Source organism: Homo sapiens, chromosome 14 (genome assembly GCF_000001405.40).
Source record: "Homo sapiens chromosome 14, GRCh38.p14 Primary Assembly".
NCBI lineage: Eukaryota > Metazoa > Chordata > Mammalia > Primates > Hominidae > Homo > Homo sapiens.
Window position 1 is genome coordinate 70327796 of NC_000014.9, and position 14792 is coordinate 70342587.

The 14792-nt window shown below is 36.8% G+C and overlaps 2 protein-coding genes across 5 annotated transcripts in view; both read right to left on the minus strand.

Annotated features, from left to right (window-relative positions):
* The window catches only part of SYNJ2BP-COX16 (SYNJ2BP-COX16 readthrough), a 92010-nt gene that overhangs the window by 2715 nt on the left and 74503 nt on the right, over positions 1-14792 (minus strand). For all 3 annotated transcript variants that reach the window (NM_001202549.2, NM_001202548.2, NM_001202547.2), the window contains one exon: positions 1379-1441. In NM_001202549.2, the coding sequence (NP_001189478.1) occupies positions 1379-1441 (63 nt within the window). The remainder of the gene's footprint in view (positions 1-1378; positions 1442-14792) is intronic.
* The window catches only part of COX16 (cytochrome c oxidase assembly factor COX16), a 34603-nt gene that overhangs the window by 2715 nt on the left and 17096 nt on the right, over positions 1-14792 (minus strand). For both annotated transcript variants that reach the window (NM_001204090.2, NM_016468.7), the window contains one exon: positions 1379-1441. In NM_001204090.2, the coding sequence (NP_001191019.1) occupies positions 1379-1441 (63 nt within the window). The remainder of the gene's footprint in view (positions 1-1378; positions 1442-14792) is intronic.

Sequence of the window (14792 nt, forward strand, 5' to 3'; positions counted from 1 at the left end):
GTAGAATTCTACAAAACGTGCACAGTGGCTGAAGAATGGGCTATGTAAATGTGCTGAGAAAAACCACCCAAGACATAACACTTCACAGCCAACTGGTATAGGCCTGAGTGTGGAACAGCGTCAAGAAATGCTGAGAAAAAACAGTGTCAAGAATATGGAGTTTCCAGGCCTGCCAGAGTGGAGACCTTTCTTTTAACATTTTGTTGCTACCCTGACATCCACCTAAGACACCAAAAGGACTGTTCTTCAGGAGTAAAAATTATGCCTGAGAATAAGATTTTTTTTTTTTTTTTTTTTTTTTTGAGACGGAGTCTCGTTCTGTCACCCAGGCTGGAGTGCAGTGGCGCGATAAGATTTTCTTTAGACTCACCCCAACAAAGCTTAAAGCCAAGCCTTGACAAGATTCTCTGGGGAGATAGTCTGGAGATTGAGTCCCAACAAGGGAGAAGGGCCAAGGAAAGATAGCTAGCCCTTCAACAGATACTTCCCTACAAAGCACAAAATGAAGTTTAAGGTGATTAGCTAACAATTAAATTGTCAAAATAAAAATCAACACTCTTCAGAATTTTCTTCAGTGTATTATTCACAATGACTACCTTTCAATACAAAATGACCAGACATATACAAAGAAACAGGAAAATATAATCCAGTCAAAAAAATGACAAACTCAAAGACATGAAGAACATCCTCACCACATCCCATAATATAGCGTGCTGTTAAACTCCTTGATTTTTGCTAATTAGATGGGTGAAAAGTGATACCTCGTTAGACTTTGACATTCCTATTATGATAAATTGAGCATCTCTTCATATGTTTAAGAATGATACTTATTTCCTTTTGTCCAAAAGTTTTACATGCTATGCTTTCCCATGTTCTTACTGAACAAATGAATTGTTGAACTTTTTCACATTGATTTGGAGATGGTCTTCATATTTAAGTAAATTAATGTGCCATGATAAGATTAAACTATATCTGTAGGATTTCTCATGTAATCTGTGACTTTATATACTTTTTTCATTCTTAACTTTTGAATTTGTATGTATGAACCCATTGATCTTTACTTTTAGAGCTTCTGGGTTTTATATCACATTTAAATAGGCTTTTTTGACTCAAGACAACAAACAAAATTCTCCATTTATATTCTCCTAGTACTTTCAGCATTTTGTTTTTTACTTTCAAATTCTTGATCCATCTGGAATTTATTTATTTGTAGTATATTAAGTATGGATCCATCTTTTTATTTGCTTTTCAAATGATTATAGTTTATCAAATACCATATATATTCAACGTAATTTTTTTCTGTACTACTAATACTTTTAAGGCAGATAAAACCAGTAACTGATTGTTATAAGACAGAGACTATATTAACATACCGTACCTCATATTCCGACTCTAAAGATATTTTATTCTCTTTCAGTTTTTTTTCAAGCTCAGGATCCATCTGTAGAAAAGGAAAAAAAGTAATAAGTTATCTAAGTCTGTTTGTTAGACTCAATTTTCAATTTTAAGTTATAGAAGAGATGGCTGAAATACTATAGCCAAATACAAACACATGGCAAAATCTCCACCATCTACTCTGATCACATAATGATAACTAATGTACTACTGCCAGCATTATTCAACTAAAAAGAGTTAATATCTACTGATTACTTGTTATGTGAGAGGCATTTTGACATATATTATCTTGTTTCATCCTCACAAAATCCATGAGATCTGTATTATATGTAAGGAATATGGGACACGGGGTTTGAATAACATGTCAAAGAAGCAGAGCTTGGCTTTAAGTATTAGTTCTCTGCCTCCAGAGTTCACACTATTAACCACCAATCTAAATTATATTATGGAGAAATAACAAAAATACTAATATAATGCTGCACTTGAAAACAAAAAGGAATACCTTCCATGGGCCAGAAGTAGATATCTACCAAAAAAAAAAAAAAAAAATCCATAGAGGTAAAAAGGAGCTAATGCTATATTAACTGTATAAAAAGCCTTTCTGTATGTGGCAAAGCCTTCAGGAAAAAGAGTATGATGGCTGAAATCAATAAACAACAACTACAAAAAAGCAAAGATCAAATAAGTAAAATAGAAGCATAACCAGAGGATTTCACTGGAATAATGCATGAAGAGATAAAAATGAGATGAATGAAAAAAAGTATTTTACAAAAGCTAGACCTAAAAGTTCTAACACATAGCTAGAAGTTCCAGAATTAGAAAATAAAGGGGAGGGAGAGCAATAATTAAATAAAAATAGCAAAGAATTCACCACTACATAGCAATGAGTCCTCAGACTGAAAGAACATCATAAGAAATAAGCACAACAAAACAAAAACATTTTTAATCAAAGTGAAGTTGATTAAGAGAAAAAAGAGAAGTCACAAATAAAGAGTATTTAGATGAAAAGGTCAACAGCACAAATTCTATAGGCAATAAAGAGTATAATAATATGAATAATTTTATGCCATTAATTTGAAAACTTAGATAAAATGGACAGATTAATAGAAAAATACAACTTTCCAAAACTGACAAAGGCACAATAGACAACCTGAATAGTTTTACAATCTATAAAGAATTAAATCTATAATGAATAACCTCACACAAAGAAAAGTCCAGGGTCAGATGGCTTTGCCAGTGAATTCTCCCAAGGAAGAAATAATGCCAGTGTAACAAACACTCTGTATGAATTATGTGGTAAGCATAACCCTGATATCAAATTTCACAAGAAAATAAAAATAACAGGCCAGCTTCATATATGAACACAAATGCAGAATTCTTAGTGTAAAAAGAATTCAGCAACATACCAAAAAGACAGCATACCATGATCAAGTTGAATTTATTCCAGAAAGGCGAAGTTAATTTGGAAATCACAATGTAATTTGCAAACAAACTAATGCGACAGAACAGAGAATCCTGAAGCAGACTTAAAAACTTATATGAACAGTTGATTTATGACAAATTAGGCACAGAAGAGCAGTCACGAAACAATGCGATTGTCAATATTTGATGATTGCACAATTTCTTATCTATTAAGAGAATATATTCCTCACATCACATACAAAAAAAGAAAAAAATCAATTCCACATAGAATGTAGACCCAAATATGAAAGGCAAAAATCAAAACTTATAGTAATTCACATAGAAAAATATTTATACTTTGGAGTAGGGAAAATGTTTCTTAAAAATCATAAAGTAAAAGAAGAATAAAATATATTGTATTGAACTTTTTTTCTTTGAGATGGAAATCTCACTGTCACCAGGCTGGAAAGCAGTGGCACGATCTCGGCTCACTGCAACCTCTGCCTCCTGGGTTCAAGCAATTCCTCTGCTTCAGCCTCCCGAGTAGCTGGGACTACAGGCATGTGCCACTACGCCCGGCTAATTTTTTGTATTTTAGTAGAGACGGGGTTTCACCATATTGGCTAGGATGGTCTTGATCTCTTGACCTCATGATCCACCTGCCTCGGCCTCGCAAAGTGCTGGGATTACAGGTGTGAGCCACGGCACCCAACCAAGTGTATTAAACTTAAGAAAATTTGTTTATCAAAAGATACCATTAAGAAAGTGAAGACTAAAAGGTTTATAATCTGGCATGCATAAAAAGACTCCTAAAAAATAGTAGGAAAAAAACCCAATAATCCAGTAGAAAAAAATGAGCAAGAGGCCTCAATAGACACATCACAAAAATGAATATACAAAATAGAATACAAAAATGGCCAACAGACATATAAAAAGTGATTAACTTCATCGGTCACCATGGAAAATTTAAATTCACCTCATAATTGGATAGCAATTCGTAACACACCCACCAGAATGATTTTAAAAAACAAAACAAAATTAAACTGACAATACAAAGTATTTGGAGCCTTAACAATAAATTGCTGGTAACAGTATAGATGGATAGTCATTCTGAAAAACAGTTTGGAATTATCAAATAAAATTGAAGTATGATACAACACCCTATAATCTAGCAATTCCTTTTTGTACATGTACAGGAGAAAAGCATACAAGAATGGGAATGTTCAGGATGTCACCAAGATGGCAGAATAGAAGGTAACCTGCTCATATCCCCCCATAGCAACAAGAATCCTGCACCTATCCACAGTAAAAAGTCTTGCTGCAGGAACCTCAGAATTCAGGTAGGAGGTTGTCAAACCCTGATGGAGCCAAAGACCTAGGAAGGTCGTTTTGAATGCATTCACACCTAGGTGGATGATCCACTGAGCTTGCTTCTAAGTTCAAGCCTGGAAACAGCCCAGTCCTTCAACGGGCTTAGCTATAGCCCCATTTGGCCTTCAGTCTACAACCAAAACCAGCTGCCAAGAGGTCCAGAAGGACTCATACATGCTAGTGACTTAACAGAAAGGCTTGTCTGCCTGATGATATTGGTCTTGACAGTGAGCCTGAAAGTGACCCTGTGGCTCTGCTCCAGCCTTCAGCTGCAGGTCCCAGCTCAGAGCTGTTTACACAAGGACCCAAAGGGAGACTCAACATATCTGGCAGCCCAGGAGTATAGGCCTCCCCTGTGGGCTTGCCAACCTCCTGTCACAGCAGATCCTGAGGGGGCCCAGCGTCAGCTGCAGCCCCTCTTGCTGTAGTTGAGAAACGATCCTGTCTGCGCAGGATCCTCCAGGGAGACAAGTGCCCCACTTGAGCCAACAAGATCCAGCTCTCTAGCCTCCAGGCCACAGCAGATCCCAGGGGGGCCCAGTCTCAGTTCTAGCCTCTCCTGCCACAGTTGGGGAACTATCCTGTCTGTCTAGGGACCTGCTGGGAAATGCACACCCACCTGAGCCAATGTGACAGGCATGCCATCCTCTCTTCTACAGTAGATCCCGAGGCAGCTCAGTCTCAGCTTCAGCCCCTCCTGTGGAAGTTGAGGAACTACCCCACTGATGCAGTGACCTGCCAAGTGACACATGCTCATCCGTGGCAATGAGAGGGGATCATCAGCCTTCCCACAGCAGATCCAGAAGGGGTCCAGTCTCAACTCCAGTCCCTTTTGCTACAGTCAAGAACCCATCCTGCCTATGCAGAGAACTGTTGGGAGGCATGCTTGTCTGGTACGCTGAGACAGTCTTCTGGACTCAAGTACCTGGTCAGCATTCCCACACAGCCCCAGTACCTACCTTGGATCTTCCACAGATCCATTTGGGCCAAAAAGCCATGCCAACCTTGGAGCCTTCATAAGACTCACGGCAAGCCTGGGCTTTGGGCACTCTCTAGGGCTGAGGCAGCTCAGGTGGACACAGGCTCAGGGAAGACAACAGTCAGTGTGCTTAGAATCCCTGGAACACCCTCTGAAGAAGGACAGGCACAAACAAAACCAGACTTGCACAGACTAAGATAAATACAGAGGCTCTCAATGTGCACAAACTGTCACATTTCCTTGAGTATCAGAAACATTTAGGAAAATATGACCTCATCAAATGGACAAAATAAGGCACTGGAAACCAACCCTAAAATGATGGAGATGTGTAATCTTTCAGACAAAAAACTGAAAATGGCTGTTTCAAGGAAGTTAAATAAACTTCAAGAAAAGACAGAGAGCCATTTAGAAATTTATCAGAGAAATTGAACAGAGAGGTTGAAATAATTTTTTAAAAATCAAACAGAAATCCTGGAGCTGAAAAATACAATGAATGAAACAAAAAATGCACTACAAAGCATCAACAGAAGAATTCAGCAAACAGATGAAAGATCAGTGAGCTCAAAGAGAAACGATTTGAAAATACACAGTAAGAAGAGAAAAAAGGAAAAAGAATGAAAGTAATAAACAGCTCACAGGATCTATGGAACAACATAAAAACAGCAAATATTCAGGTTATTGGAGTTAAAGTGGGAACTAAGAAAGACAAAGGAGCAGAAAGCTTATTCAAAGAAATAATAACAGAAAACTTTCTAAACCTGGAGAAATATATAAGTATCTGGGAAAAGCAAGGTAAAATGTCACCAATCAGATTCAACCCAAATAATACCCCAAGACATATTATAATCAAACTCTCAAACACCAAAGTCAAAGATAAGAGGCTAAGAGCAATAAGAGAAGTGAAGCAAATGATAGAAGGGGCATCCATATGCCTGGCAGCAGACTTCTTAGTAGAAACTATAAAGGCCAGAAGAGAGTGGGACAATATATTTAGAGTGCTGAGGAAAACAAACAAAAATACTGTAACAACCAAAAATACTGTATCCAGCAAAGTTATCCTTCAGAAATGGAGAGATGAAAGACTGCCAAACAAAAGCAGAGGGAATTTATTGTTACTAGACCTGTCCCAAAAGAAATGCTAAAGAGAGTTCTTCATACTAAAAGATAAGAATACTGCATGATATACTAATACTGCAATCATGATGTTTAAATCACTTTTATCTTTAGTAAGACAAAACTATTAAAAATAGTAACTGCAACAATTTGCTAAGAGATTGGCAATACAAAAATGTAAATTGTGGCCAGGCGCAGTGGCTCACATCTGTAATCCCAGCATCCTGGGAGGCCGAGGTGGATGGATCACTTGAGGTCAGGAGTTCAAGACCAGCCTGGTCAACATGGCAAAACCCCGTCTCTACTAAAATTACAAAAATTCATCGGTTGTGGTGGTGCGCACCTGTAGTCCCAGCTACTTGGGAGTCTTAGGCAGAAGAATCGCTTGGAAGGCAGAGGTGGCAGTGAGCCGAGATTGCACCACTGCACTCCAGCCTAGGCAATAAAGCAAGACTCCATCTCAAAAATAAATAAATTGTAACATCAAAAATTCAACATGTTGGGGGAAAGAGAGTTAATGTGTATAGGTTTTTATTTTGGTTTTTCCTTTTTCTGTAATCAAAGTTAAGTTGGTATCCATTTCAAATAAGTTGTTATATCTATAGGATGTTTTCTGTAAGCCTTGAGGTAACTGCAAAGCAAAAATCCGTAACAGATACACTAAAAATAAAAAGCAACAAGTTAAAATATACTACCAGATAAAAATCAGTTAATCACATAAAAAGGAATGAAAAAAGGATGCGAGGAGTTACACAACTAGAAAACAAGCAACAAAATGGCAGTAGTAAGGCCTTACCTATCAATAATAACAGTGAATGTAAATGGACTACACTCTCCAGTTAGAAAACAGAGTGGCTCACTGAATTAAAATATAACACCCAAGTATATGCTGCCTATAGGAAACTCACCTCATCTATAAAGATACACATAAACTGCAAGTGAAGGAATAGAAAAAGATATTCCATGGAAATGAAAACCAAAAAAAGAACAGAAGTAGCTATACTTATATCAGATAAAATAGACTTAAGTCAAAAACTAAAAAGAGACAACGAAGGAAATTATATAATGATAAAAGAGTCAATTCAGCAAGAGAATATAACAACAGTAAATATATATGCACCCAACAGCTGAGCACCCAGATATACAAAGCAAATATTAACAAATCTAAAGGGAGACAGACTGCAATACATAATATTGGGGGATTTCAACAACCTACTTTTGGCAATGGACAGATCATCTAGGTACAAAATCAACAAAGACACATTAAAGTTAAACTCTACCCTAGACCAAATGGACCTAAGACAAATTTACAGAATGTGTCATCAGACTGCTGCAGAATACACTTTTTCTCATCAGCACATGGAATATTCTCCAGGATAGACCATATGTTAGGCCACAAAGTCTCAACAAATTCAAAAAAGTATCAATCATATCAAGTGTCTACTCTGACCAAAACAGAATAAAAATAGCAATCAATAACAAGAGGAGCTTTGGAAGCTGTACAAATACATGGAAATTATACACAACGCTCCTGAATGACCAAAGAGTTAAAAAAAAAAAAAAAGGACCAAATTTTTAAAATTTATGGAAACAAATAAAAATGGAAACATGAACATAGCTATGTTCATTTGTTTACCTTTGTCTATGACTGCCTTTTGTACTACAACAGCAAACTTGAGTAAATGCAGAAGTTCAAATTTACTATCTGGCTCTTTACAGGAAAAGCTTGCTGATCCCTGACTTAGATTTGAAGCACAAATGAATTTCACATATATAATATTGAATAAAAGAAGTCAGCACAAAAGAATATATATAATTCCACTGATATAAAATTCAAAACAAAGAAAATTAATCAAAGGTTTTGGGATGTATTCTAAAATGGTAAAACCAAGGAAGTAATTACTATAAAAAGCACAGTAGGGCCAGGTGTGGTGGCTCATGTCTGTAATCCCAGCACTTTGGGAGGCCAAGGCAGGTGGATCATGAGGTCAGGAGATCAAGACCATCTTGGCTAACACAGTGAAACCCTGTCTCTACTAAAAATACAAAAAATTAGCCGGGCGTGGTAGCATGCACCTGTAGTCCCAGCTACTCGGGAGGCTGAGGCAGGAGAATCGCTTGAACCCAGGAGGCGGAAGTTGCAGTGAGCCAAGATTGCACCACTGAACTCCAGCCTGGACCACAGAGTGAGACTTCGTCTCAAAAAAACAAAAAACAAAAACAAAAACAAAAAAGCGCAGTAGTGTTTATGCTAGGGCCAAGAGGAAGACATGGAGCGGCAGGAGGAGAGATTAGGAAGCAGCACACAGAATGGGTCTGGAATGCTTAACAATTTTTACTTTTTGACACAGATGGTGGTTACTTGGGTTTTCAGTTTATGATAATTTATTAAATTGTACATGTATGTTCAATATACTCCTTGGTTTCTGTATTGTGTTTCACAACAAAACAACTTAGATAAATAAAAATAAAATAATGAATTACTATATTAATAATTGCATGTATGTAAAAGGGATAAAACACAAACCTACAATACAAGTTAACTTCCTCATATGCTTTCAACTAAGAAAACAGCAAATGACCTACTGTTGGTGGGCACGAGGAACTGACTGTATTATTGAGAGATATATCTGTACTTTGTGTGATTTAAAAGAAATTTTTAGTGCTAATTTTGATTGTGTGAAATTTCTGCCTTACCAGCATACATTAAAATCAAACCTCTACCTAAGATGCTACTCTATTGTATAATGCTTTGATAAACTTTCTTCCTGTATCTTTATTTTCTGTACAAAATTTATCCAATAATCTAAAATTTATCCAATAATGTCAAAGTAATTTGCAAAACAAAATAATCAACCAAAAAATGCTATTACTGCAGTCTCTTGGAGTTTAAGAGATAAAGACCCACTAAAGGAAGGGTTCCAAAAGAGCTTAGAGTTGAAAGCCCATTTTTTCCCTGGAAACCCTTGACACACCTGGTAAACCCATAGGATAAGAACAAAGGTTTGAAACCAGGCAGATGGCTGCTACTGGAGGTCACAGAAACCACCACACAGGGCTATAATGACAAAAAGTAGAGATCAAAACATGCAACAGTTTTGAAATTCTAGAACTGCATAAGATAGAAGTATACCACTAGGTTGAAAATTCTCTGAAAAGTAGAGCAGAATTTCCTGGAGTATCAATTTAAAGCCATGTAGGTCCATGGACATTATTTATAAACAACTATAGAGGTTCCAGATGATATTGTTTTCCTCCAGGAAAGGCTTATCCTTTTTTCTGCAATACAGACAGATTGGGGGCTAGGAATAGTGAAGAAACAGAGAGGATAGCCTAAGTCTTAATTAACTGAAGTCAAGCCAGGACCTGGCTCACTCCTGGATGATAGTAAGATGGAGCAGCCCTCAATCTATCTGCATTGCAGAAAAAAGGATAAGCCTTTTATGGAAGAAAACAATACCATCTGGAACCTCTATAATTGTTTATAAATAATGTCTAGTATTTAATTTAAAAATTATGAGGCATGTTTAAAGATAGAATCATATAACTGAAAAAACAAGAGAAAAATAAAGCAGATCTATAGTGATCCTTATGTTGGAGACAGGCCTTTTAAGTAACAATAATTTGTATATGTTCAAGATATCAAAGGAAAAAATAGATTAAAATATGGCATCATAGAAGATTTCTCCAGACTACTAGAATGTGTAATAAAGAATTAAATGCATTTTAAAACTAAAAAATATAGTAACTGAAATCACTAAATCAAGGGATGGCTTCATGTGGAGATTGAACACAGCAAAAAAGAGGTTTAGTGACTAGAAGATAACACAATAGAAAATATACAAAATAAAGTACAAAAAAAAAATGAGGGGAAAACAAAACATTGAAAAATCATAATAGAAATGTTGGGCATGAAGAATATAACACACATCTGATTGGTATCCCATAAAGAAAACTCGGCAAAAGCAACAACTGACAAGATAATGAACAATTTTTGGTTTTACATTTTCTGTGGTTTCATTAAAATCTTCAAAGAAATCAGAAGATAATTTGGCTTTTTGGGTCTCTTGTTTTTTTGAGACAGGGTCTCGCTCTGTCACCCAGGCTGGAGTGCAATGGCACGATCACAGCTCACTGCAGTCTCAAACTCCTGAGCTAAATCAATCCTCCCAGATCAGCCTCCGAGTAGCTGGGACTGCGGGCACGCACCACCACGCCTGGCTACTTTTTTCATTTTTTGCAGAGATGAGGCTTCACCATATTGCCCAGGCTGGTCCTGAACTCCTGATTCAAGTGATCCACCAACCTTGGCCTCCCAAAGTGCTGGGATTAACACATGTGAACCACCATGCCCGGCCCCAGAAGATAATTTGAAAGTCAATTTTTTCTAAATCAAGTACCTAAGAGCTAAGGTGGACATTTCTTGGTGCCATTTTTCTGTTTAGCATTGATATACTATAGAAAGCACGATCCTTGGTAAAATTTAACAGTATACATAGGAGGTCAACAAACCTGGTACCAGTCCCCCTTTTGTTCACCCATAGGATATTTTAGTAGTTCTAACCTCTGAATCAGAAAAATGTCACTTTAGTCAGTTTCATAGAGCAATCAAGAGAACAATATGATAATGCATGTTCTCACTGGTATGGTATACACAAGCTAACTCAGCAGCTCTATTTTAGACTGAGTATAGTGTTGTATTTTGGGGAGATGAGTAAACTTATGATTGATTTATAAGTACTTGCCTGCCTCATCGTGGACCTGTGAGATTCAGTCTTCATATCTGTTTTCACATTCCTGTCTCCACCATGCCCAATCTAATTTCTTGTTTGCGTATTGTGCAGTATGCTCCGTTTTGGTTATTTAACTCCTTAATCCAGTTGTATGTGTCCTTCCATATGTCATTAAAGTAACAGAGTCATTTAGCTTTCCTTTTCAGTGATGTCTGAATCATACTGGCACTGATATTATAATTGTTCTCATTTTCATTATCTAATCTTAGAAAACACGGTCACAATATTTATAATGTTAAAAATTAACACCATCTGTTACAAAGCACAACAGGCAGGCAAAGTCGAAGACTTACTGCTCGCAATTGCAATGTACTTATATTGCACACTTAAATCACATCTTTTGGTGTGATCCAACAATGTATGACCCATTATTGTGGATCCTTGGTGGTTAGAATCAGCACTCATGAGAAAAAAACAGCAACAGCCACTAGGGACAGCAGATAAACTATTCCAAATCATTTTCTAAAACTTGAAAGCTGTTGCTTCCAGCCCTTACTTTTTTAGGCTTATACTTTCCCATGAACTTTGCACATCCATTACTGAGAAGCAAGATTTTTTTTTCCTGGGATGCCAAACTTTCAGTACAAAAATCAGGACTGTCTCAAGCAAACAATGACGGTTGGTCACCCCAAATCCATATTGTGCTTTCTACATCCTTTTCCAAACTTCTCAACTGAACCCATCCTCTCTTGATCCAATTTGTTCCTTTAGACCACAGTGTCAACCCCCCTTGACCTCAGCAATTTACCCTCTTGACCACCCTAACCTCAATCTCTCAACCCATGCAACCACTATCAGCCTCAAACAATCTTATCCTTTCAATCCTGAAGAACAAAACTCAACCTCTTAACTCCTCTCAACATTACCTCATCCTCTCTACCTAACTGGAACTCAACCTCACCCAAACACTGACTCTTGATCACCTGAGTTTGACTTTTCAACATCATCAACCAACCTCGGCCTCTAAATGTCATAAGCCTTGTCTTCTGATCCTTCTCACCTCAACCATGTCCTCTCATCTTCCTCCTACAGACCTTAACCATCCTCCTTCTTTTAACCTCATTCCCTTGACTTCAACTGACCTTGTCCTCACAACTTCAATCAACCTCATTCTCTTAACCTTACCTAATCTTGTTCCGTTTACTTTGACTCCATTTCCTAAACCTCATCTGGTAGCTCAACCTCCCCTGTTCTCCTTAACTGGGTGATATGGTTTGGCTGTGTCTGTACCCAAATCTTATCTTGAATTGTAGTTCCCATGTGTCATGGGAGGGACCTGGTGGGAAGTAATCAAATCATGGACGTGGTTTCCCCCATGCTAGTCTCATGATAGTAAGTTCTCACAAGATCTGACGGTTTTATAAGGGATTTCCCCCTTTGTTAGGCTCTCATTTCTCTCTCCTGCCGCCATGTGAAGAAGGTCATGTTTGCTTCCCCTTCTGCCATGACTAAGTTTCCTGAGGCCTCCCCAGTCTTGTGAAACTGTAAGTCAATTAAACCTCTTTTCTGTATAAATTACCCAGTCTTGAGTAGGTCTTTATTAGCAGTGTGAAAACAGACTAATACACTGGGTTATTGGCACCACCATTTACCTAGTCCTCAAAACCAAAACCTTGAGACATCTTAGATTTATTCATATTTTTGTATTACATACATTAGTCATCAAATACTATCAATTTGCTGCTAAAATTATTGCTGGAACTCATTAATTTCTCTTTATCATCGTTGCAAATATTTTATTTCAGGTTCCATTATTGTTCATCTATGCTACTGCCCCAGAATCCTAACAGATCTCTTTACTTCCAACCTAAACAATATTTTCTCTTCTCTCTTGCTCCCCCAATACCCATCCACCTGTACTCCACTGCCAGAGAGTTAGTTCTAAAATGAAACACTGACCATGTGCCCAATAATCCCTCTACCTTATAGAATATAAGTCATTTCTATCATTTAGCTAATTCCTACTCATTCTTAAAGCCTAATTCAAAGGCTAATGCCTTTAGAAAACTTTCTCTGATTCTCCTTTTCCAAGTTAAAACTATACACCTCTCCTTGAACGTCTAGTAATGGCATTTTACTGGCATTGCTATATTATATGTCTGGGTACATTTTTTTAATTAGCTGTCTTCCAGCCTCAATTATAAACTTTATAAGTACTAGTTTCTGAATACTTTACTTGCAGCATCTAACAAGTATTAACACATGACCACTATTCAATTATTTTTCAAATATATACTTATTTTCTCCCTTCCAAATGTCATATACTACCATAATTTTCATCTTAAAGGGAAAAAGAAAAAAATTCCTTGATAAAATAATTGGGATGCTAACTGAAAGCTTTTAACACAGTTAAATTGAAAGTTGCTAACTGAAAATTAAGTAAAATTCCTCATTAAATAAAATTGTTCTAATCCTTCATAGAAAGTACACATTTTTTTAAATTTAAAATTTACCCTAATACCTACTGTCCTTAAAACTAGCTGATGTTGGTTTCTCTAAAACCATAAAATTAACTGAGGAAACTGAATAGGACTTTATACTCTACTTTTCTATCAATATTACTGAGGTCTGCTAATAAAATACATATATTACTTGAGAAAAAAACTACAAATATCAGATATGTGCCATAAACAAAAGCTATGTACTTCTGAATGAAAAAACCAGAGTTCTTATGTGTCCTGAATTTCACAATTGTGTGATTAGAGGGTGAGAATCCTAGCTCTACCCCTAAGTAGCCATGTGACCTTAGCCAACTTAGATAAGCTTTATTTTTCTTCAGTTTTTTCAAGTAAAGACCCACTATAGTTAATGTATAGACCCCCTCAGTTTCCTCACCTGTAAAATAAAGACGATAACATATAGCCCCAACTTGCAATGTTTCAACGTACGTTTCTTTTACTTTACGATCCATTTAATCAGATATTAAATGCATTTTTTACTTATGATATTTTCAATTTACAATGAGTTTAGCAAGACATAACCCCATTATAAGTCAAGGATCATCTGTGTGTGTGTGAGTGTGTGTGTGTATGAACTAATATAGTCCTACTACAAAGTAGATACTATAAATGTAGCTGTCTTTATTTATACTGAAAAATAGTTTTCCTTTTAGTAACAGTTATTAAAGATACATATCAATATACTTTATACAATTACTGATATTAATATTAAATTAAGAGAAATAAAATAAAGCAAAATTATTGACCTCTGTTTTTTAATCCCTTCTAAATTCTAAAAACAGCTACATCAGATCATATTTTGTGGGAGAATGCTAACAACATTGCAAATTTCCTAATGAAATAAGAAAGATTACTAGACTGGGCACAGTGGCTCACACCTGTAATCCCAACACTTTGGAAGGCCAAGGCGGGTGGATCATTTGAGGTCAGGAGTTCAAGACCAGCCTGGCCAACATAGTGAAACCCCATCTCTACTAAAAATACAAAAATTAGCCGGGTGGTAGTGGCGCACACCTGTAATCTCAGCTACTCGGGAGGCTGAGACAAGAGAATTGCTTGAGCCTGGGAGGCAGAGGTTGCAGTGAACCAGGATAGGCCACTGCACTCCAGTCTGAGCGACAGAGTGAGACCCCGTGGCAAAAGAAAAAAAGAAAGATTACGAAATTAGTTACATTTCATGATTCACTGCCATGTGATCACTAATGTTATTTTAAAGAAAAAAACAAAGATCACATCTTAGTGTTGAAAAGCAAGACAAACTCAGACTACTTAGTATACTGA